At 44.9% G+C, this 22,207-nt stretch overlaps 2 protein-coding genes across 5 annotated transcripts in view; one reads left to right on the top strand and one right to left on the bottom strand.

Moving 5' to 3' along the window:
* Positions 1-1,698, bottom strand: part of MTRR (5-methyltetrahydrofolate-homocysteine methyltransferase reductase) — a 50,255-nt gene extending 48,557 nt beyond the window's left edge. For all 3 annotated transcript variants that reach the window (XM_047417233.1, XM_024446064.2, XM_047417234.1), the window contains exon 1: positions 972-1,698. The gene's annotated coding sequence lies outside the window, so the exon portion shown is untranslated. The remainder of the gene's footprint in view (positions 1-971) is intronic.
* On the top strand, positions 1,424-22,179 carry CFAP90 (cilia and flagella associated protein 90). Of its 2 annotated transcripts, none has more exons than NM_001089584.3 (3): positions 1,424-1,682; positions 17,059-17,175; positions 20,528-22,179. In NM_001089584.3, exons 1-3 carry the CDS (start codon positions 1,536-1,538, stop codon positions 20,705-20,707), a joined length of 444 nt encoding a protein of 147 aa, NP_001083053.1. In that variant the 5' UTR covers positions 1,424-1,535; the 3' UTR covers positions 20,708-22,179. The 2 variants fall into 2 exon arrangements, with proteins under 2 accessions (NP_001083053.1, XP_011512265.1); XM_011513963.3 differs by lacking the exon at positions 1,424-1,682 and adding an exon at positions 16,703-16,869.

Here is a 22,207-nt window from a genome sequence, read left to right as displayed (position 1 = left end):
GCTAGGTCCCCTGGGGCTTAGAGACATGGTGGGCAGGTGTCTGACCCTTGACTCATGGCTGACTTGTGTTCTGCCTGGCCATGGAGCAAAAAGATGTGTTAGTGGGACAAAGAAGGCACATGGGTTTCTCAGGAAGCTCATGGGGACCCACGAGAGAGACAGATATAAATAAAAAGAGAGAGAAAAAGCGTGGTGGCACCGGGATGTCTTAAATCCTGCCCAGAAGGATCTCTAGAACTCTGGAGACCTCTACAGAGTGGATCACCAGGTGCCTCAGAATGAGAGAGGCATCTTAAGCCACCAGCCTGCATCACAGAATGGCAGACAAGAGATTCCTACCTAGTTGCAGGGATGGGGAAGAAGGCAGGGCACTGCTCCTTCCATCATCTGTAAGATCTCTCCATCAGGCCCCCACCTATCTGTTCACCTTCACTTCCTACCAGTTTCTGGCTTCATGAGGCCACACCACCCCACTTCCTGCTGCCATTCAAACACAAGATTGTCTCTGCCTCAGAGGACCAAGTTGGCTTGGAAGGGATTGCCAGACTCACAGAACTGGCTTCTCATTATCGCTATGCTTCATCTCAAACACCACCTTCTCAGCAAGGCTGGCCTTCCCAGGCACGCTGGCTAAAGCATTTCCCAAGCCTTGGTCATCATGGCTTTTTTTGTTTGTTTGTTTTTAACTTTTCTTGGCTGTACACCCACCAATCACGAGTATACAGCTTAACACATTTTCAACAAACGGAACGCAGGTATTGACCCAGCATTCAGATCAAGGGCCAACGTAAACACACTGGCAAAGGATTGCAAGAGCCCTGTCCACAGCAGCTGAGTTCTGCCAGATTCTGTAAATTCATGCAGCCTTACACCTGCACTGGCCAATACTGTAACTGCTAGCCACACGTGGCCACCGAGAGCTTGAAAGGCAGCTAGTGCCATTTGTTGAAATGATAACGTTTTGGACTTACTGAGTCAAATAAGAAACGACACACGTGGCTCTCATCATGTTTCTATTGGACAGCGCTGCCCTGGAGCCTCGGCAAGTCATTTGGCTTCTTCGCGTCTTTCATGTGTCTTCTCCAGACTGTAAGCTTCCTGTGGACAAGGCCTGCTCCGTTCAAGGCTCAATCTCCAGCTCCTGACACACCATGCGCTAGGTGCTCAGTCACTAATGGTCTCGCGAAGGAGTGATCAGTGAGTGAAGCAGGGGCTGCTGCATGGGAAAGGTGAGCGGGCTGGAAATGGGTAGTCCCCGCGGCGTCTCCCAGTCGGGCTCCTCCCGAGGAGGAAGGAAGGAGAGACCCCAGGTGTAGTCGAGGGGCCGGGAGGGAGGAGGGGAGGGTCGCTCCACCCTGGAGCGGGAATGCTGCAGGGCAGCTCCGGGTCGCCAGGCGGCGGTTTCCAGGCAACGACCGAACACAGACGCGGGCTAGACGCTGGCGCTGAGCAACCTGAGGCCTGCAGACTCCGACTGGGCCCCTGGGCGGGCGGGACGGACCGCGGCCAAGGCGGGGGCGCTGGACGGTGGCGGCATGGAGGACGACGAGGAGGAGACCACCGCGTCCACGCTGCGGGGCAAGCCCAGGCCGCCGCCCGTCTCGGCGCAGTCCGCCTTCAGCTACATCCCGCCGCGGCGCCTGGACCCCAAAGAGCACAGCTACTACTACCGCCCGGCGCGGGTGAGGACCGCGGACTGGGCGCGGAGACCGGAAGGCTGGGCGGCTGGGCGGCTGGGCGGCTGGGCGGCTGGGCGGCTGGGCGGCTGGGCAGGGGCGGGCGGCCGCGGAGGGGCGGGGGAGAAGGGATCACCCCAGCGGAAGGGTCTTGGGGCGGGGCTCTCCCTCGGAGGGAGGGCGTAGGGGCGGGGTTCACCTTAGGGAAAGGGGCCTGGGGGCGGGGCTCACCTTAGGGGCGGGGGCCTAGGGGCGGGGCTCACCTTAGGGGAGGGGGCCTGGGGGCGGGGTTACCTTAGGGGAGGCAGCCTGGGGGCGGGGTTCACCTTAGGGACTGGGGCCTTGGGGCAGGGTTCACCTTAGGGGAGGGGGCCTGGGGGCAGGGATGCGCCGCCGGGGACTGGAGAGAGGAGCTCACAACGAGGAGGGGCCCTGGGAGGGGCTGCACCGCTAGGGATCGGGGACAGAGCTCACAGAGTAGAGGGGCCCTAGAGGAGGAGCGCACCTTCGGGCAGGGACCCTGGGGGCAGGGCTTCACTACCAGGGGTGGGTTCCGAGGGGCGGGGCTGGACAGCCTGTGGAGGGGGCCGGGTGGGAGCGTGCGGAGATGAAGGGGGCGCGGCAGGGTCAGCTGGGGAGACAGGGAGGGTGAGCTCCCGCCAAGGCGCCTGGGCCCCAAAGAGTACAGCTCAGGCGACTACCAGTGTCAGCTGAACCCCTGGGACGAGGATGTGGGAGAAGCCGGGTGCGCGAATGGGTGTCTTAGCTGCGATCAGGGGCTGGGAGTCGCGGGAATGCTCAGATAGGACCCGGTGCTCTTCGGAGAAGGGAGCGGGAGCCACTAGGTGTCAGGATCCCTCAAAAGCACAGTGGCTCTGTCGGGACAGCAGGGCGCTCTTTCTGCCCAGGGTCTGGAGGGGGTCGCGGGAAGCCGGGGCCGCCCAGCGGGCTGGGCGCGGCTCCCTCTGGGGTCTGTCTGCGGCAGGCCCAGGCTAGCAAGGAAAGAAGGCCTTGCTGCCGGGACTACGCCCGGATGGTCCAGGGCGCGGGAAACCCTCTGCCCTCCTGCAAACCGAAGACCAGAAGGAATAGCTGGCGAGCCGCCTGCAGGGAGGGCTGGACTGAGAGTGGTCCCTCTGTTCTGTCCTGGCCACACCGGCCCGTGCATTTCCTGGGATGGGATCTGCGAGTCTGCGAAGGCCACTGGGCACCCTGCATCTCCCACCAGCGGCCAAAGGCAGGAAAAGTAGTAAATTCAAAGCCAGTTGAGGGTCATCTACTCCTTTCTTCTCACCATTGTTCCTAAATGTCCCCGGTTTGTCTTGCTCAAGATGCAGGGGCAGGGGAGTCATTACTGAAAAGGAGCATTCATTGAGGACCCTCAGCCTGCAGGCGTAACTGGGACAGGTCTTTCTAATTCTAGCTGTCCTGGTGGCTTGAGTGGGTAGAGAGGGATATAGATTAGCCAGGTGTCTAGGGGGAAGGAGATCGTTCCCTTATGGTGTATAAGGTGTTCCCAGAAAATGCATCCTTCCTTTCCCCACCTCCTGCCCCCACCATCCTAGACCCTAAATAAATTCCCCTTCTGACTGGGTTAGCACACACTGGCCTGCATGCCACACATAAAGTGTAAGCACTCTTGGACAGCCTCACCAACAGAAGCAATCGTGTTTCTAGTTTAGACAACTGCTGTCGGTTGAATTGTGTCCCCTTGAAATTTATGTTTTGGAGTCTTAATCCCCAGTACCTTAGAATGTGAACTTATTTGGAAATAGAATTTTACAGAGATAATCAAAATAAAATGAGGCCACTAGGATGAGCCCTATTCCAGTATGACTGGTGTCTTTGAGAAAAGGGGAAATTTGGATATATAGAGACAGACATGCATGTATTAGTCCTTTCTCACACTGCTAATAAAGACATACCCAAGACTCGGTAATTTATAAAGGAAAGAGGTTTAACTGACTCACAGTTCAGCATGGCTGGGAAGGACTCAGGAAACTTATAATCATGGCAGAAGGAGATGTAAATATGTCCTTCACGTGGCAGCATGAAGAGGAATGAGTGCACAGTGAAGAGGCAAGACCCTTATAAAACCATCAGGTCCTGTGAGAACTAACTCACTATCACGAGAACAGGATGGGAGGAACTGCCCCCATGATTCAATTATCTCCAGACGGTCCCTCCCAGGACATGTGGGAATTATGGGAACTACAATTCAAGATGAGATTTGGGTAGGGACACAGCCAAACCATATCAGGGAGGATGATGTAAAGGGACACAGGGAGAAGACAGCTGCCTACAAGCCTCAGGGAAAGGCCTGGAACAGGGCATTCCTTCACAGCCAACTGCTTGATTCCATACTTCTGGTGCCAGTACTGTGAGACAGTGAATTCTGTTGGTTAAGCCACGTCATCCATGGTACTTAGTTTGTGCAGCCCCAGCTGACAAATACGGCAGCCATAAACCTCAGCCTGCTCCCAGGAGGATCTCTGGTATCTGATAGCTCCTCTCTGCTTGGCTTTGAGCAATATGCAAGGACAGGGGGAAAAGGGACATTTGCAATCAGATCTGTCTCTGCAGCCCTGTTTGCCTGTTCTCCCAGGCTCGATTATCCTCTGAATATTAAGACAGGAGGGAAACACGAGGGAATGGTAAGTTCCCAATCTCATTGCCACCAGGGACTTCATTTTTTTCCTCCTGGGAGCAATATGTTTTGAAAGAACTGTTACCTATACATAATCTCATTTATTAAATGAATTTTACATTTTAAGTATGCAATACTCATGTGACTGCCAATCAGCTTATGATTAATGCATAGCAGTAATGCACCGCATGAGATAAACAGTGGAAAAAATAAGGAGTGTTTTTGTGTTAACTTGTTCTATGCTGTTATGTTGAAAGGAAATAAAATTCATCTGGCTGTTGGACAGAATAAAAACATTGGTAATAATGCCATTTGAGGGATCCTGTAAATAAGATGGGGGCACCAGGAAAAAGAGCAGAATCTGCATCTCCTGTGGGCCAGCTACTGCCTAGGGAAAGGCGGTGAAATTGATCCTGGCAGGCACAGTTCATTCTTGCATTTACCAGTCTAATTAACGTCTCCACCTTCCTGGGACCAAACTAACCAAAGGGCAGAGAGATGCCTGAAGTGTGAAGTGACTGGGACTCCATCACTTGGAAGGAGGTCCGCTGGGAGTGGGCTGGAAATCTGCCCCTTTAATGCTGGGGTCAGTAAACCAAGGCTCCTTGGCCAAATCTGGCCAGTTGCCTATTTTAATAAATAAGGTTTTCCTAGAACATAGTCTCACACCTATGTGTTTGCATGTCTGTGGTTACCGCAGAGAGCTGTGTAGATTTGGCAGAGACCATGTGACCTGCAAAGCCCAAAACAGTTACTACCTGGCCCTTTACAGAAAAAGTTTCCCACCCCTGCTCTAATGTATCACTACCTTCTGGAAGGTAGGTATGGAACTTAGAACAAATTAATGCAAAGTGGATTTTTGAAAAAACAATTTTTTTCCATGCAGTTTGGGTAACTGAGGTCACAAACAAATTCAAGTTCTGAGGCCTTTAGTACCACGCAAAAGAAAACGATGCTACAGAAATGTTAACATCTAAATTAAAACAGCCTCGAAACAACAAGAATAACAAAAGCATTTTGAAGCCCATTTGACAAATAGCTACCAATGGTAATAATCCACTCCTCAGGATGATATGAACTGGGATTTAATCAGCTGCAGGACCAAAGAAACTGATTCTCTGACCTAGAGACTATTTGGAATAAAGAGGGTAAATTCTGCATCACAGGTTTTCTAGAGAACTCAGTTACACCTAAATTTACTGTAAACAATTTCAGGCTCTATTTTAGGAGACTGAGGAGGGCAGATCACTTGAGATCAGGAGTTCAATCAAGACCAGCCCAGCCAACGTGGTGAAACCCCATCTATACTTAAAATACAAAAATTGCCAGGTGTGGTGGCCATACCTCTAGTCTCAGCTACTCGGGAGGCTGAGGCAGGAGAATCACTTCAGCCCAGGAGATTGAAGTTGCAGTGAGCTGAGATTGCACCACTGCACTCTGCTCTGGGTGACAGAGTGAGACTGTCTCCAAAATATAATAATAAAAGTAAGAAGAAGAATAATTTCAGGCCCTAATCAAGCTGAGTAGTAAAAACAGTACAGAATTAGTTCTTAAGCCAATGCTATGGTCTGAATATTTGTGTTCTCCCCAAATACATATGTTGAAATCACAACCCCCAACATGACAGTATTAGGAGGCGGGCCTTTGGGAAGTGATGAGGACATGAAGGTGGAGCCCTCATGAATGGTATTATCACCCTTGTTAAAGAGACTCCAGAGAGCTCCCTCGCCCCTCCCAGCATGTGAGGACACAATGAGAACGTGTCATGTAGCAACCAGAAAATGCTCCCTCACCAGACACCAAATCTGCCAGCGCCTTGATCTTGGACTGCCCAACCTTGAGAACCTTGAGAAATAAGCATCTGTTGTTTATAAATCACCCAGCGTATGGGTATTTTGTTATAGCAGCCTGATAGGACCATTCTGTTTAGTTTATTTCTATGTGACACACAGTAGTGTGTGTACTGATTAGTTGGTAGCACAGGCTGAGTCATCCTGGGTAAAAATATTGGCTCCATGTTGACCAGCCATGTGGACCTGCCACATTAACACACACTGTTTCACTCTACCCACCTTTGAGGCAAATGGTGCCAATTTCATAGAGCTATTATATGAATGACTTTAATTAATCAATGCAAAGTAGCACATAGTAAGCCCAATGCAAGTATAGCTATTATTATGATTTGCCTTTGTTAGTGATTATTAGAGCTTCTTTTCACTAAGTGCTGGATCCCAGTCGCAAACCTCATATCCCTGACCCTCGTTTGCTGTCAGAAATTAACACAGGTGAAGGCAAAATGTGAGTGTCAATCTGTGGCTTCTAATCCTCTGAAGCAGCTCCCTTCAGGGAGCCCACAGAGTGGACGCACTGAAGGCTGCACACTTATTTAAAGCCCCAGTAATGCCTCTGAATTGTAAGACAAATTTGTCATCTAAAGCTGCCAGCAAAAATGTGATCGGCTCCTGTACGGCTCCCTAGAGAGTTCTAGTAGCGTGGGCTTTGCCCATAAAATATGGTTCCTGCGGCAGCAAAGCAGATTCCGTTCAACGGTGTTCTTCAATTACTTTTTTCTTCTTCTGCCTTGTGCAGCATTTCTGCTGCTGAAATGAAAAAGCAGTCAAAGGACAATGCCATTTTATGAAGGTTTTGATTAAATTCCTCAAAGTCTAAGAGCTGCATTTAAAGCAATTATAACTGGTTTTAGAATCCGCTTTCCCTCATGCTGAGGGGGCTTGTGGATAGCTCTGTCTTGAGTGAGGCTTTGCTGTAAAGGCCCCACCTTAGGTTTGGTGGGATTAGCTGGCTTTTCTTCTCTGTGTATGTTGGGGACAGAAGCTGACTGTTTCTTTATGCATCAAGGACTCTACCTCCCTGAGCACTGAATTTCCCTTTGCCAAGTGCAGCCAAGCACCTATACAGATGCATGTTGATATGGTTTAGCAATAAGTCCCCACCCAAATCTCATCTCCAATTGTAACCCCCACATGTTGATGCAGGGACCTGGTGGGAGGTGATTGGATCATGGGGGCAGTTTCCCCCTTGCTGTTCTCATGATAGTAAGTGAGTCCTCAGGAGATCTGATGGTTTAAAAGTGGCACTTCCCTCTTTGCTCTCTCTCTGTCTCTCCTGCCAGCAGGTGAAGAAGGTCTTTGCTTCCCCTTTGCTTTCTGCCATGATTGTAAGTTTCCTGAGGCCTCCCCAGCCATGTGGAACTGTGAGTCAATCAAACCTTTTTTTCTTTATAAATTACCCAGTCCTAGGCAGTTCTTTATAGCAGTGCAAAAATGGACTAATACACATGCTAACTGTCCAGAGGCACAAAGGGGAATCTCTGAAGGACCTGACAGTATGCAGACAGTGCTCAATATGAGCCTCCCCAGGTCCTCCCTCTATGGGTCCTGTCTGCTTAGGAACCAAGCACCTTTACCACACACACTCAGCCACTCCAAGGGGGCTGTGTGGGGAAGGTGAACTCAGTTCTGTTGCTGATCTGCCTGTCATTATCTAGGCAACTCCCCATTATCCAGCAGACTCATAAGCTTACATGCCTTTCCAAAAGAATTTGTACTGGCCCAGTGAAATTATGACCTCTCTGCATGGATACCTCTTTCCTTCTCCCTGCCTATTTTTCTCCTTTTGCCTATTAGTATCTAACCTGCTAAGTATTTTCCTTAGTTATCTTGTTGTTTTCTCCCACTAAATGTGAGCTTTGTGAGGACAATGATTTACCTTTATCACAGCTATGTCTTCAGCAATCAAAAGAGTGCCTGTCTCATAGTTGGAACTCCATAAATACCTGTTGCATGAACAAATGAGGAATGAATAATCGGAAAGCCAATTTTTAAAACAAAGGGATAAGTCACCGACTTACAAAATTTGCTTCTTAAGAGTAACTTGGGGGTTTCGGTTTGGATTATCTGCTGCTTTGCTTATCCCTGTCCTCGTTCTCCTCCTCTGGTATCGTCAATGGCAGTGGGCTATAGTTTCTTCTCTACTTCTCTAGTTGCATTTTCACTCTCCAGTGACCTGCCCCTGGAAAACTCAGGGCTTGGGGGAATGGGGCTGAATATCTTCCTCCAGGGCAGGTAGCTCCTTAAAAAGGGGTTGGTCGGGGGGCTGAGCCCAAGGCCCAGTTTCCCTTGCAAACCCATTTATGAGAGAGGAATGAGTGAAAGGGGAGGCAGGCATGTTCTAGTGGAGACCTTTCACATGGTACGAAACACCGAGAGTGAGGAATCCATGTTCCAATGAATCAAAACTCCTGTGTGAGCATGTGCTCTGTGTCTTTTCATTGAGTGCATGTTTGTCGAGATACGTATCTAATGTTTTTTATACAAGAACATATTCACACACAGATCACACAAATATGGACACATATATTGCAGCTTGCCCTTTTCATTTAATAACATATCTTAGTTTTTCAAAATCACCCCGTTTTAAGGGGTACAAGCAAATGACACAAGAAAAGAGACAACATTTTTCCCAATAACTTTGACCAAGAGGAACATATAAGATTGAATTCGAGTTTCAGCCCCTGTGGATCGCTGTTTCTTCCTGAGTTGTGAATTGCTGGGCTGGGGGTGAGGGGTGAGTAGGGAGCTGGTATCAGTGGAAGAGGAAAAACAATTGACTCCACAATCACCAAGTTTCCAACTGGTGACAAGTTGAGCACATAGATGAATGTAGAACTCTCTGAATCAGAACACTCTTAGAATTTGACACAGACACAAGATCAGAGGGAGGAATTATCTTGACTTCAGTCTGATGGTAAAATATCCAGATTATTTGAAAATTTATAAGAATTTCTAAAACTTGTGATATTAATGTACCAGGAGAGGACATAGAATCTTTTCCACAGGAAAAATCAAAAACCCAAAGAGAATAGTTGAGTATTGTCTTTTCAAAAAAACCTAACATTGTGTCCTTCGCAAGCAACAGTCCTCTGAGATACAGAATTTTGAATGCTGTTAAAATGAATAAAAATGTCCTCATTAAGCTTCACACAATACCAAACCTCCAAGGAGATGCTCTGGATTTATTAGAAGTAAATTGAGGCCCTGATGAATCAAAGGAAACTGTTTTGGATCACCTTGGGGGTTTTCAGTTTTAAAATTAGGTTGTTTATCCCTGGACAAGCAAACTCACGGAAAGCCTCAAGATGAGGAGGTCATAGTGCTGTGGCTTCTGAGGACAGGAAATGAGGTAGCCCACTCATAGGTTGATTAGCATATTAGACAAGGTGGGCTAGGATGTGCTATGGAAACACACCCTAAACCCAAAAAGTCTTAACCGCCGGTGTGCTGGAGCTGGCTTGTATGACTCACAAAAGCCAACTGTTAGCATTTCTTCTAAGCTCTGCATTTAACTGGTAGCCTAAAATTGACCATGACCGAAGTATTTACACCACAGAAATCATCAAATACTACAAATCAGATTTTTTTCTCTCCAGAAAGTGGGTTGTTAAACATAGGTGCACCAACGGGCTTAACATAATAACCATGACATCATAGAGGCTTATTTTTTTCTCATTCATAGCCCAGCATTTATGTTTCTCCAGGGAGGCTCTTGGTGCAATTGCTTGGAAATCCAAGTGCCTTCTTTTTCATGGTTTCACTATTACTAGGGCCTAGGAGTTTTTAGGACTTTAGAGTCATTTATTGGATGCTCTGAATTTATTAGCCAGTGAGTGGGGAGAGAGGGTTTGGAGGACTGCCTGAGAGTTTTTTATGGACCAGGACTAGAAGTAGTATTTACTGGAGTCACCCACATTCCTGGCCCCAGCCTACTTGTGGGGCAAACTGGGAAATGCATCTTCTGCTTGTTCTGGAAGAGGTAGTATGTTTGATGAGCACATAGCATTACCCCTGCCACAATTACATGACAAAAGGTATTAATTTTTTTCTGTTGTTTTTTTTTTTTTCTTTCTTGTAGAACTTACTGGTCCAACCTTATGGTGGAGAGTGAATTAATGCTTTAAATACTCTGAAAGGGAGGAGAAAATAAAGGACTAGGGTCCCAGTTTGCTCTAAAACTTACCCCAGTTATTTGTGTGCAACTTCTGGGAGTAAGAGTGCTTCTCAGGTTGGGAGGAGTCATGGGGCACGATGGCTACTTCTTGCCAAGTGTGTTTGCCTGGGCTACCATAAAATGTACCACGGACTTGGTGGCTTAAAACAACAGAAATTTCTTCTCTCTTAGTTTTGGAGGCTAGAAGCCTGAAATCTGGGTGTCACCAGGATTTTTTTTTTCTAATTTCCAACTTTTAATTTGTGAAGGATATGTAGGTTTGTTACATACGTAAACGTATGCCATGGTGGGTTGTACAGATCATCCCATCACCCAGGTAGTAAGCCCAGCATCCATTAACTATTCTTCCTGATCTTCTCTCTCTTCCCACGTCCCGTCCTCTGACAGGCCCCAGTGTGTGTTGCCCACCCCCCATGTGTCCCTATGTTTTTATCATTTAGCCCTCACTTGTAAGTAAGAACATGCGGGATTTGGTTTTCTGTTTCTGTGTTAATTTTTTAAGGATAATGGCCTCCAGCTCCATCCATGTCCCTGAAAAGGATGTGATCTCATTCCTTTTTATGGCTGCATAGTATTCTGTGGTGTATATGTACCACATTTTCTTTATCCAGTCTATCATTGATGGGCATTTAGGTTGACTCCATATCTTTGCTATTGTGAGTAGTACTACGTTGAACATACGTGTGCATGTGTCTTTATAATGGAATGATTTCTATTCCTTTGGGTATATACTCAGTAATGGGATTGCTGGGTTGAATGGTATTTCTGCCTCTAGGTCTTTGAGGAGTCGCCACACTGTCTTCCACAATGGTTGAATTCATTTACACTCCCACCAACAGTGTAGAAGCATTCCTTTTTCTCCACAACCTCACCAGCATCTGTTGTTTTTTGACTTTTCAATATCCATTCTGACTGGAATGAGATGGTATCTCATCGTGGTTTTGATTTGCGTTTCTCTAATGATCAGTGATGTTGAGCTTTTTTTCATGTTTGTTGGCCACATGTGTGTCTATTGAGAAGTGTCTGTTCATGTCCTTTGCCCAATTTTTAACGGGGTTTTTTTTTCTTGTAAATTTGTTTCTTGTAGATGCTGGATATTAGACCTTTGTCAGATACATTGGTTGCAAAAATTTTCTCCCATTCTGTAGGTTGTCTGTTTATGCAGTTCGTAGTTTCTTTTGCTGTGCAGAGCTCTGAAGTTTAATTAGATACTATATGTCAATTTTTGCTTTGTTGCAATTCAGCCGGATTGGTTCCTTCTAGGGGCTGTGAGGGAAGGCTCTGTTCCAGGCCTCTCTCCTTGGCTTGTTGACGGCCATCTTCTCCCAGTGTCTCTTCACATCACCTTCCCTCTGAATGTTCATGTCCAAATTTCTCCTTTCAATAAGGACATCAGTCATATTAGCTCGGGGGTCTACCCTACTCCAGTATGACCTCACCATAATTGATTATATCTTCAATTACCTTATTCCAAATAAGGTCACATTCAGAGTTCCTGGGGATTAGGACTTCAACATGTGAATGCTTGGAGGACACAAGTCAGCTGACCACATCCAGTGAGGTTGTTCGGCAGTGGTTCTAAGTACAGCAGTGTGGTGCAGTCTCCCATCTCACCTTCAGTCACCTGCACTTCCTACCCTCAGCCCAAGCAATTGCCCATCATTCATTCTTTTCTGCTACTGTACTTTGTGCACACCTCTCTTATTCCATTTATATTTTTCTGTGGTTCATAACTAATGGGTTAATTTCTCTTCTCAGTCTGTGGTCTCTTTTAAGGTAGGGACTCCCCATTTCTGTCCTGGAGCCTGGCATAGTGTCTTGCACAATAGTAGGCCTAATGTGCTGTGGAGGTTGAAAACTGGAGGCCTCCACTCTACCCACAGCATCTGCCCAGGCCGCCTGTGGACCAGAGCAATTTCTCAGGATCAGGGGTGGAGGTCACTGTGAGGGAAACTGAGGGTAGGTGATCAAGCACCATGACCAGGCTAAGGCCATGCTACATTTTAACAATATTCAAAACACAAAGGGAGAGATCACAAGGTGAAAAATGGATATTTTGTTTTGCTTTTTTTTTAAAGGAACATCATCTGTGAAATAGAGACAATTCCTTGAGGGATTTTAATGGCAAAATTTCAGTAATTTCAGAAGCTCTGTCTTGTGATAGCATCTAAATCCCAACTGGTTTTTATTAGTATCATCTTGCTTCAAGCCATACGAGAATAAAAGAAAAAAAAAGAAAGATTAATAATTAAAATCCTGGGAAAAGACAGATTTCCAGTTTGATTAGTTATTGAAAATGGATAGTCACATTTCAAAGCGAGGCTGCCTGCCTGCTGATGAATTTATTTTTTTTGGTCCTTATTTTTCAATGATAGAAAAATTCACTTTTACTCTGGAAAGTTCTGAATATGCAAAATCTGCACAAAAATAAGCTTCCTAAGACTCTGATCACTCCACACCCACAAGCAGTGAGATTCCTAGTAAACACTAAGATGTAGAAGACTGTTGGCAACTAATCCAGGGATTGTGAGGCAGGCATGGCTGCTCATAGTGGTTACTTTTATAGTGTTTCAGGAGACCTGATTAGAATGAGAAGAAATAGGCATTTTCTCTGTAAAGTTGCATATTACACTGGGCTTCTTCAATATAGGGAACAAAATGAATGAACATATCCTTTCTCATTCTGATAACAGTAATTGCATTCTCATTCTATTCTTAAGTCCATTCTTCCTTCTTCAGAGTTTTTCTCCCAGGATAATCCAAGCACCCCAGTGGGGGCTCACTCAGTTCAGGAGGGTTGGACCTGATTAAAAGCACTGTGCAGAAGAAAATACAAGACCAGGCAGCCACTGGAGGATCTATTTTCCCTGCTGTTCGTGCCATCCACTCTGAGGGGGCTGTCCCTCAGACCTGGGTGATATGGTTTGGCTGTGTCGCCACCCAAATCTCATATTGAATTGTAACTCCCACAATTCCCATGTGTCGTGGGAGGAACCCAGTACAAGGTGATTGAATTATTGGGGTGGGTCTTTCCTGTGCTGTTACTGCGTTAGTGAATGAGTCTCATGAGATCTGATGGTTTTAAAAAGGGGAGTTCCCTGCACAAGCTCTCTCTCTGGCTGCCACCATGTAAGAAGTGCCTTTCACCTTCTGCCATGATTGTGAGGCCTCCCCACACATCATCCACACAGAACTATAAGTCCATTAAACCTCTTTCTTTTATAAATTGCCCAGTCTTGGGTATGTCTTTATCAGCAGCATGAAAACAGACTAATACACTGGGTGAGGGTGGCTGCCCACCTGCAGGGAGCATTATAGGGTTTGAGGGGCCACCAGACAACACCACTTTGCCACAAGGTTCTCAGGGTGCAGGAGGAGAGAGTGCTTCTTGGCCATGGGTGTAGCTTTCTCCCAGGGGTTCAGTTCTAGAGACTAGGTCTTCACGTTGTACACTGCAGCTGTTCTCCCCAAAACGCATGGAACAGGGTCAGCCAGGTCAGGAGGGATTCCAAAGGCAATAGGACACCTAGATGATGAGCAAGAGCCTGGCTACTATTGAATCCCTTAAAATATTGGGCGTATGTGGGGTGGCATGGGGGTGATGGAGATCAAGCTATTGGCTGGCCAGTGTCTCTGAATCTCAAAGGAAAGGTCTGGGTGGCAATGTCTTTACTCTGGAGAATTTATCCTCCCTCATCCTTGCAGAATGTGTGTGGTATACTTGGGCTTCCTGTGTGTTACTGGGCGGCCCATCCCAAAAATGTTTGCTTAGCCTCTGCAGGCCAGCAGCAAATTAGCTTCTGTACCAACAGCTGCCTATGTTATGGATATTAAAGATATCGAGATTTCTCTATCATGTCTTAAAATGTTTTTTTTAAAGTTTTCATTTTATTTGATAAGCAGATGTCTAATTTGTATGTAGTCAAAGTGATTGATATTTTCTGACATTTTTCCTATTGTTTTCATGTGTACGAGTTTTCTAATGGGTTTTCTTTTTCTCCTATTTTTCTCATCATCCAGAATTTACTTTTGGCTATAATGTGATGTGAAGGTCCAAAAAACTAGCCAATTGTCACAATACTAAATGTTGAAAGGCTTATCAATTCTCCATTGATTCAGGCTTTTAAAAAATCCTATGGGTACATAGCTATAGGGTAGGTTGCCATCAGGAGACATGAAGGCCAGGGTGGTTTGACATGAACACATCCAGAAGTTGAGTGAGAGTGAAGACAATAATAAGAGATGCTTGTGTCTGGTGAACTCATAAAATGGCCAGCAGAGGCACAGAGGCAGAAGCCACAGCTCCTGGTTGGAGGTTGCTTTCCTCCTTCAAGCGGATTAGAGTGACTCTGAACTAAGACATACCAGGATCCCGCAGTGGCTGGCCAGGGGCCTTACACATGTTACTGTTGGAATTCTTATGAATCTTAAAGTAATAATTCTTAAAGACCATGTTGTTTCCTTACTAGACGGCTCATTGAGTGAGGACAGTAGCCACGTCTGAGTTATCTTCTAAATTCCCTCAGCAGGAGCACAGCATGTTTCACATGACAGATGATCTGTGAATGATTTGCTAAGGATTGGCCAAAGCTACGTTATGCTCTAGTTATTCCCACTACTGGCCAGAGTGCCAAGTTCCTGCAGTCAGTGTGAGTGGGCATTATGTATTTTCCAACATACTGTATAAAGTCTTGCATCCTTTTCACTGCCTACTTCTACCTCTGTATCCTCCTGTTGGAGGGAATCATTCTAGCATCACTATCTGGGAACAAAACAAAACAAAACCAACCAAGCATAAGCTAGAGACCTAATGCTCCCAAATCCCATGGAGACATGTCTGAGTGTGCTGCTGGAAGATTTAAGGCAGCTGGAATAACATAAATGACAAGCCTGACCTACAAGGTGAAGATTAAAGACCAGCTAACACATGCATTCTTTTTTCTTTTACTAGATACCGAACAAGGAAGATTTTCTTTTGTACTCAGAAAAAGTTGGGATGATAAAATGGAGATAATACAGATAATGGCTCTGTTAATGGGTCATTTTCTAATACATCAGAGTTGTGCATGTATGTAAATTACATACATATGATATATACATGTATATTAAATATATGTATTCATATATATATGGATTACCAAGTGTTACACTTATCACCTATGATTAAAGAAAAAATACTTTTATCTCTCAAGAGAGGGGTTTGCACATAGCCTGACTCTTGGCTAGTGTTAGAGTTCAGGAACCAATACACCAAAATATGGCACTCTGACACTCTGGCCTCAAGAAGAAGGCTCAAGTTTTCTCTGACCACCCCCTACCCCCACCCCTGGTTCTTGTCTCTCAATCTTGTCTCTCCCAAAGCACTTGATGAAGTCGGTCTCTAAAGTTCGCTTATCTGCCTGAAGTCTAGACTCACCAAGGAAGAAAACAATGACCCCTGGTACCTTCCCTGAGTTTTCATTAACTGCATTCATGTCATGGGAAGACAGGTTGAAGTCTGTTAAGACACCTGGACAGACTTTTGTCATAGACCATCATCTGCTCTGTGGGCCAAACAGACTTTCTCCCAGACCATTGTATCTTCTCCAAGCCCATTGTATCCCCCTAAAAATAACTTACTACCTCCCTAAAATCATCCGCATTTCCCCATCTTCCTTTCTCGTATGAAGAAGGCTATACAAGCATCTGTAGCCCATGGTATGGTGGGGTAATCACCCTGAGATGTCCCCCATGCACATTAATAAAAATGTGTATGCCCTTTCTTCTTTTAATCTCCCTTCTGTCAGTTGATTTTCAGGCAACCTTCAGAAGGCAGAGAAGACGTCTGCCCTTGGCTCCTGCACTAGCGACTTAAAGGATGACTCCTGTTAAGTTTCATTATCCTAGTATGTAGGTATTGTTTGTTTTTCAAAGAAGCTCAGGCTTATTATAGAGAATTTGAGAACACAAGACAAGTAGAAATGAAGGAAAAGTACACACATATATAACCTTAGAAATGTCATTTTGTTATGGTCTGAATGTTTGTGTCTCCCCAAATTCGTACGTTGAAGCCTCACCCCCATGTGGTGGTATTGGGAGGCGGGGCCTTTGGGAGGGGATTAGGCCTGAGGGTAGAGTTCTCATAAATGGAATTAGTGCCCTTATAAAAGAAGCGTGAGGGGGCTTGTTTGCCCTTCCAGCATGTGAGGATACAGGGAGAAGACACCACCTGTGAATCATAAATTGAGCCCTCACCTGACACCCAATCTCACAGGGCCTTGAACTTGGACTTCGCAGCCTCCAGGACTGTGAGAAATACACTGCTGTTGCCTATAAGTCACCCAGTCTATATGGTATTTTGTTACAGCAGCCTGAATGGACTAGGACACATTTTTATTTTAAAGTTTGAGCTCTAGCAATGGAGTCAGACAGCAAGACAGCTTGGGGAGCCACCTCTGTCAACAAGGGAGGAGAAAGTTGAGAAGTGCCATGAAAATGTCCCTGCTTCATACTGGGCCTCTCAGCAAACTTCTCTTGCTGGTGAGGCCTGGGCTTCTCCCTGCTCCACGTCACAGCTGGTTCTGCTTGGTGAGGTGAACTTTCCTACCACATACTCACCACATGCACCTCCAGCCTCCCTTGGGAAAGAACTGGCCTCTGTGCTCCATCGGGCCTCAATGACCCAGCCTTCAAATTAACCCATGGCTTTCTTTCTCTTTTTTTTCCTAGACAGGAATTATTTCCCTCTATGATTGTATTTTTAAGAGGCGCCTAGATTATGATCAGAAGTTGCACCGAGATGACAGAGAACATGCAAAAAGCCTGGGACTTCATGTTAACGAAGAGGTAATATTAAGACAGAATATTAACAAGTTGTCAACAGATTAACAAAACTTTATAGAGGCATATCTAGTTTTATTACACTTCACTTTATTAGGCTTCATAGATACTGTATTTTTTACAAATTGAAAGTTTGTGGCAACCTTATGTCAAGTAAGTCTATTGGTGCCATTTTTCCAACAGCGTGTGCTCACTTCCTATCTCTGTGTCAGCATTTTTTAACAATAAAGTATTTACAAATTAGGATCTGTACATTTTTCAGACATAATGCTATTGCACACTCAATATACTATAGTATAGTGTAAACGTAACTTGTATATGCACTGGAACACCAAAACGTTTGTATGATTCACTTAATAGTGATATTTATTGCCGTGGTTTAGAACCAAACCTGCAATATCTCTGAGGTATGCTTGTACGTGTGTGTGTGTGTGTTTGGTGCGGGGTGTATGTACAGTCATGCCTTGCTTAACAACAGGGATTCATTCTGAGAAATTCATTGCTAGGTGATCTTGTCACTGAGTGTACATCAGAGTGTACTTAACACAAACCTAGATGACATAGCTTACTCCACACCTAGGCCATATGGTACAGCTTATTACTCCTAGGCTACCAATCTGTACAGTGTGTTATGTATAAAATATTGTAAAGGATTAAAACACAATGCTAAGTATTTTTGTATCTAAACATAAAAAGGTACAGTAAAAATATAGTATAAAAGATAAAAATGATACACTTGTGTATCATTTACTTACCATGAATGAAGCTTGCAGGACTGGAAGTTGCTCTGGGTGAGTCAGGGAGTGAGTGGTGAGTGAATGTGAAGGCCTAGGACATTACTGTACACTACCGTAGACTTCATAAGCACTGTACACTTTGGCTACACTACATTTATTTTAAATTTTTTTCTTCAATAATAAATGAACCTTAGCTTACTGTAACTTCTTAACCTTATAAACTTTTTAATTTTAAAAACTTTTATGACTCTTTTGTAGTAACGCTTAGCTTAAAACACACATTGTACAGCTGTACAAAAATATTTTCTTTCTTTAGATCTTTATGTCTATTTTTAATTTTTTTAAGCTTTTAAAGTTTTTGGTTAAAAACTAAGACACAAACACACACCTTAGCCTCGGCCTACACAGGGTCAGGATCATCAGTATCACTGCCTTCCACTTCCACATCTTGTCCCACTGGAAGGTCTTCAAAGGCGACGTCACGCAACACGCATGGAGCTGTCATCTCCTAGGCTAACAATGTCTTCTCTGGAATACCTCCTAAAGAACCTGCTTGAGGTTGTTTTACAGTTAACTTTTAAAAATAAGTTGAAGGGGTACACTCTTAAAATAGTGATAAAAAATATAATAAATACATAAACCAGTAACATAGTCATTTATTATTATTGTCAAGTACTATGAGCTGTACATAATTGTATGTACTATGTTTTATATGACTGGCCGCACAGTAGGTTTATTTTCACCAACATCACCCAAACACATTAGGAATGTGTTGCACTATGACATGACAACAGTTATGACATCCTTAGGTGATAGGAATTTTTCAGTTCTATTAGGTTTTGACATTTTCATGGCAAAAACAGCAATTACTTTTGCACCAACTTAATATTATAACCTTACGGGACTACCGTCGTATATGAGATCCATCATTGAGTAAAATGTCATGTGGCACATGACTGTATGTGTATATGTGTATGCATGTATATAGGCATACATGTGTGTACATGTGTGTATGTATATATGTGTGTACATGTATGTACAGATATGTATATTTGTATATGTTGTACATATGTTTGTGTGTGGGCATATGTGTAATATGTGTACCTGTGTGTATATATGTGTGCATGTGTTTGTGTATATGCATGTGTGTATGTATCTATTATATATGTGTGTATATGTGTGTGCATGTGTGTGTGCCTGCTTGTGAATGTGTGTAAATATGTGTATAGATGCATGCATATATGCATATGTAGGTGGATGTGTATATATTATGTGTGTATATATGTGTGAATACATGTATATATCATGCACATGTGTGTATATTGTATGCATGTACATGTGTGTACATATGTGTGTACATGCATGTGTGTGTGCATATACACATACATATTTAATATTGTGCTCAGCTGCTCTATGTAATTTTCTTTATGCAGCTCTCCTCTATCTTTTTGTGCCAAGAAGCTAAGGCTAAGGTACTATTATATATAGTTCCCTCTATTCAGTCATGTCATTGTGTATTTTTCTTGATATTGTTGTTTGGTTCTTTAGAATTTAACAATTTAAGGACAGCAAAGCTAAGACATTCCCTTCAACGGATAAAACAAGTCTCTGCTTAACCTCTGAGTCCTGGCTTTCATAATTTTTCTAGAAAAGTTGGTCTTGCGGAGCAGAAATTGCACACACGAGAACATTTCTTCCAAGTTTAGTTACCAAGCCACCATAACCAGCACATGTGGTGCATTCTAAGTTGATGCAAAGTTATTGTCTTCCTCAGGAGAAAACTGTGGCAGGTAGTTTTTCAGAAAAAAGCCCTCTCAGAGCTGCCATTCCTGAAGGAAGAGAGAAAAAGGCAAAGAAATCATGGGCTGGGTGTGGTGGCTCATGCCTGTAATCCCAGCACTTTGGGAGGCCGAGGTGGGTGGATCACTTGAGGTCAGGAGTTCGAGACCAGCCTGGTCAACATGGTGAAACCCTGTCTCTACTAAAAATACAAAAACTAGCCGAGCGTGGTGGTGCACGCTTGTAATCCCAGCTACTCGGGAGGCTGAGGCAGGAGAATTGCTTGAACCTGGGAGGCAGAGGTTGCAACCATTGCACTCCAGCCTGGGCGACAAGAGCAAGACTCCTTCTCAAAAGAAAAGAAAAAAAAGAAATGATGAGCAAATTCTAGGTAGTGATGAGTGGTATGAGGGAAGAGGAAGCCATGTGAGGATGTAAGATGGGGAAAGTGAGAGGGATGAGCAGGGAGCTGGGGAGGGGAGGGGTCAGGGAGGACCTGGACATCTGAGCCAGGATCTGGGTGGTGGGAAGGGACCAGCAGCAGCAGGAGCTGGGAAATGACCAGGAAGAGCACAGGGACAAACGGGTAGAGCAAATGGTCCGGCACAGTTTCCCAACATGTCCAATGAATACACCAGCCAGCCTTCTAGCAAATTCAACGGTTCCCTGCCATAGGCTACTTCCCTGTGAAGCCCCTGGCTTCAGCGTGGAGGTTCCCTCTTGGTCTACCATGGTGGGACCCAGGCAGAAAAAGCTCCCAGGACCCAGGCTGATGGATGCACGGGTGAGCTGTGCTGGCGAATGCAGTGGTGCTGACTATGTGCTTTGATAACTTTCACCAGGAACAGGAGAGGCCGGTTGGAGTGCTGACGTCTTCTGTCTATGGGAAGCGCATCAATCAGCCCATTGAGCCCCTAAACCGGGACTTTGGCCGTGCCAACCATGTGCAGGCTGACTTCTACAGGAAGAACGACATCCCCAGCCTCAAGGAACCCGGCTTTGGGCACATTGCTCCATCCTGAAGCATCCCCGTGGCCCACAGGGCATGTCCGATACCCTGTGGCCTGGCAAGTTTGCACAGCGAGAAGGTGGCATCTGGAGCCTCCTTTCCCCTTCTCATGACGCCTAGGAGCTTGGCTATGCCTGTGTTGCATCTCTACAGTGGGACACATGAACACGTTAGCAGCCCCCCTCAGGTTGCTGGGTTAGGAGCCTGACCAACAACACCTTTAGTACATGTGAAGAGTCTCTGATGTGATGATTTTCAGCTGGAATTATTTTTGATCAAATGAATCTGGAGACCGATTCATTGTGAGCACCTGAATAAAATGAAAACTTTGTTTCCCCTTGGTAACTGTTGGGTTGGTTTCTGTTCACTGGCTCTCTACATTTGCCAGGATTCTTTGGGGAGGCAGTCACAGGAGTGAGGTGCAGTTGCTTTTCCCACGAGTTAGGGGAACTCCTGCTGCCTGAACACAAACAACCCTGACATGTTCCCTTCTCCAAGAGGAGATGTGATGACAATTGTCTTTTGGCACAATTGAACTCTAGAAACTCCATTTTTGTTTTTCCAGAGGTCTGAATCCCAAATAACAGAATTTTGTGCAGTAGGGACCAGGAGCCCTAGTAAGGATGGGTGGCCCTGGTGGCCAGCAATGCTCACTATTACTGCTCAGAGAGAGGGGGCCAGTCATGGGAAGAGGCTAGATTTCGGTGTTCAACAAACTTGGGTAAAATTCTGGTTGCTGCATTTTCTAGATTTGTGTTCTAGGGCAAGTCATATCATCTACATGAGCAGACATTTCCTCATATTTAAAGTGGAATTTCCAAACCTAGAGGAGTTCATGCGGGAGGCAATGAGCTGCTGGAGCACAGGCATAACACAGGTACCCAGTGTGTGCCCCACCCAGTGCCCCGTCATCACAGCAATGACTTGACTTTAAACAGTCTTCTTTTTGGAAGCAGTCGCTTGTAACCTAAGTTGGAAATACTTACTTTGGAGATAATTTGAAACTTACCCAAGTATTAAAGTATCATCAGCTACATTTTTAATGAATGGATCCCTTGGAAGAAATCATCTCTCATCTACCATGATTAAATTTCCCACAGTTTAGCAGTGAATGGGCAGGTGGCCTAATTAATTTCAATACTGATCGCTCCATCACTGGTTTTATTGTTTTGAATATGGAAAAAGGATTCTCTAAAAATAAATGACACTGAATTCCGGCAATTTCAAGGCTGAGTGACTCCTAAGTATTTCTTTATTTTTTTGAAAACAGTTTTTCAGTGTAGGTGTCTTTTATTTATTTCAAACAAATGGCAGTAGTTTATTTCGAATGCCTTTGGGTGCATTATACCATATTTATAGTAACATAATAGAAAATATATAAAGTTTGGGTTATAGAAATATTTATAAATTATTCATTATTCAGACTTGATTTCAACAAAGACAAGGCATCTGTAAGTGACTGTAATAAATCAAAGTCAAACTAAATTATTTTCATTTACTTTCAGTCAGACCT

Source organism: Homo sapiens, chromosome 5, assembly GCF_000001405.40.
Source record: "Homo sapiens chromosome 5, GRCh38.p14 Primary Assembly".
NCBI classification, from domain to species: domain Eukaryota; kingdom Metazoa; phylum Chordata; class Mammalia; order Primates; family Hominidae; genus Homo; species Homo sapiens.
This window is presented reverse-complemented; position numbering and strand designations above follow the sequence as displayed.

Bases quoted from the DNA above. Each gene is read 5' to 3' on its own strand.
- CFAP90 (NM_001089584.3), top strand. From the start codon at position 1,536: ATGGAGGACGACGAGGAGGAGACCACCGCGTCCACGCTGCGGGGCAAG. The intron at 1,683-17,058 runs GTGAGGACCGCG...TTTTTTTCCTAG, and splicing joins ACTACTACCGCCCGGCGCGG to ACAGGAATTATTTCCCTCTA. The intron at 17,176-20,527 runs GTAATATTAAGA...AACTTTCACCAG, and splicing joins GACTTCATGTTAACGAAGAG to GAACAGGAGAGGCCGGTTGG.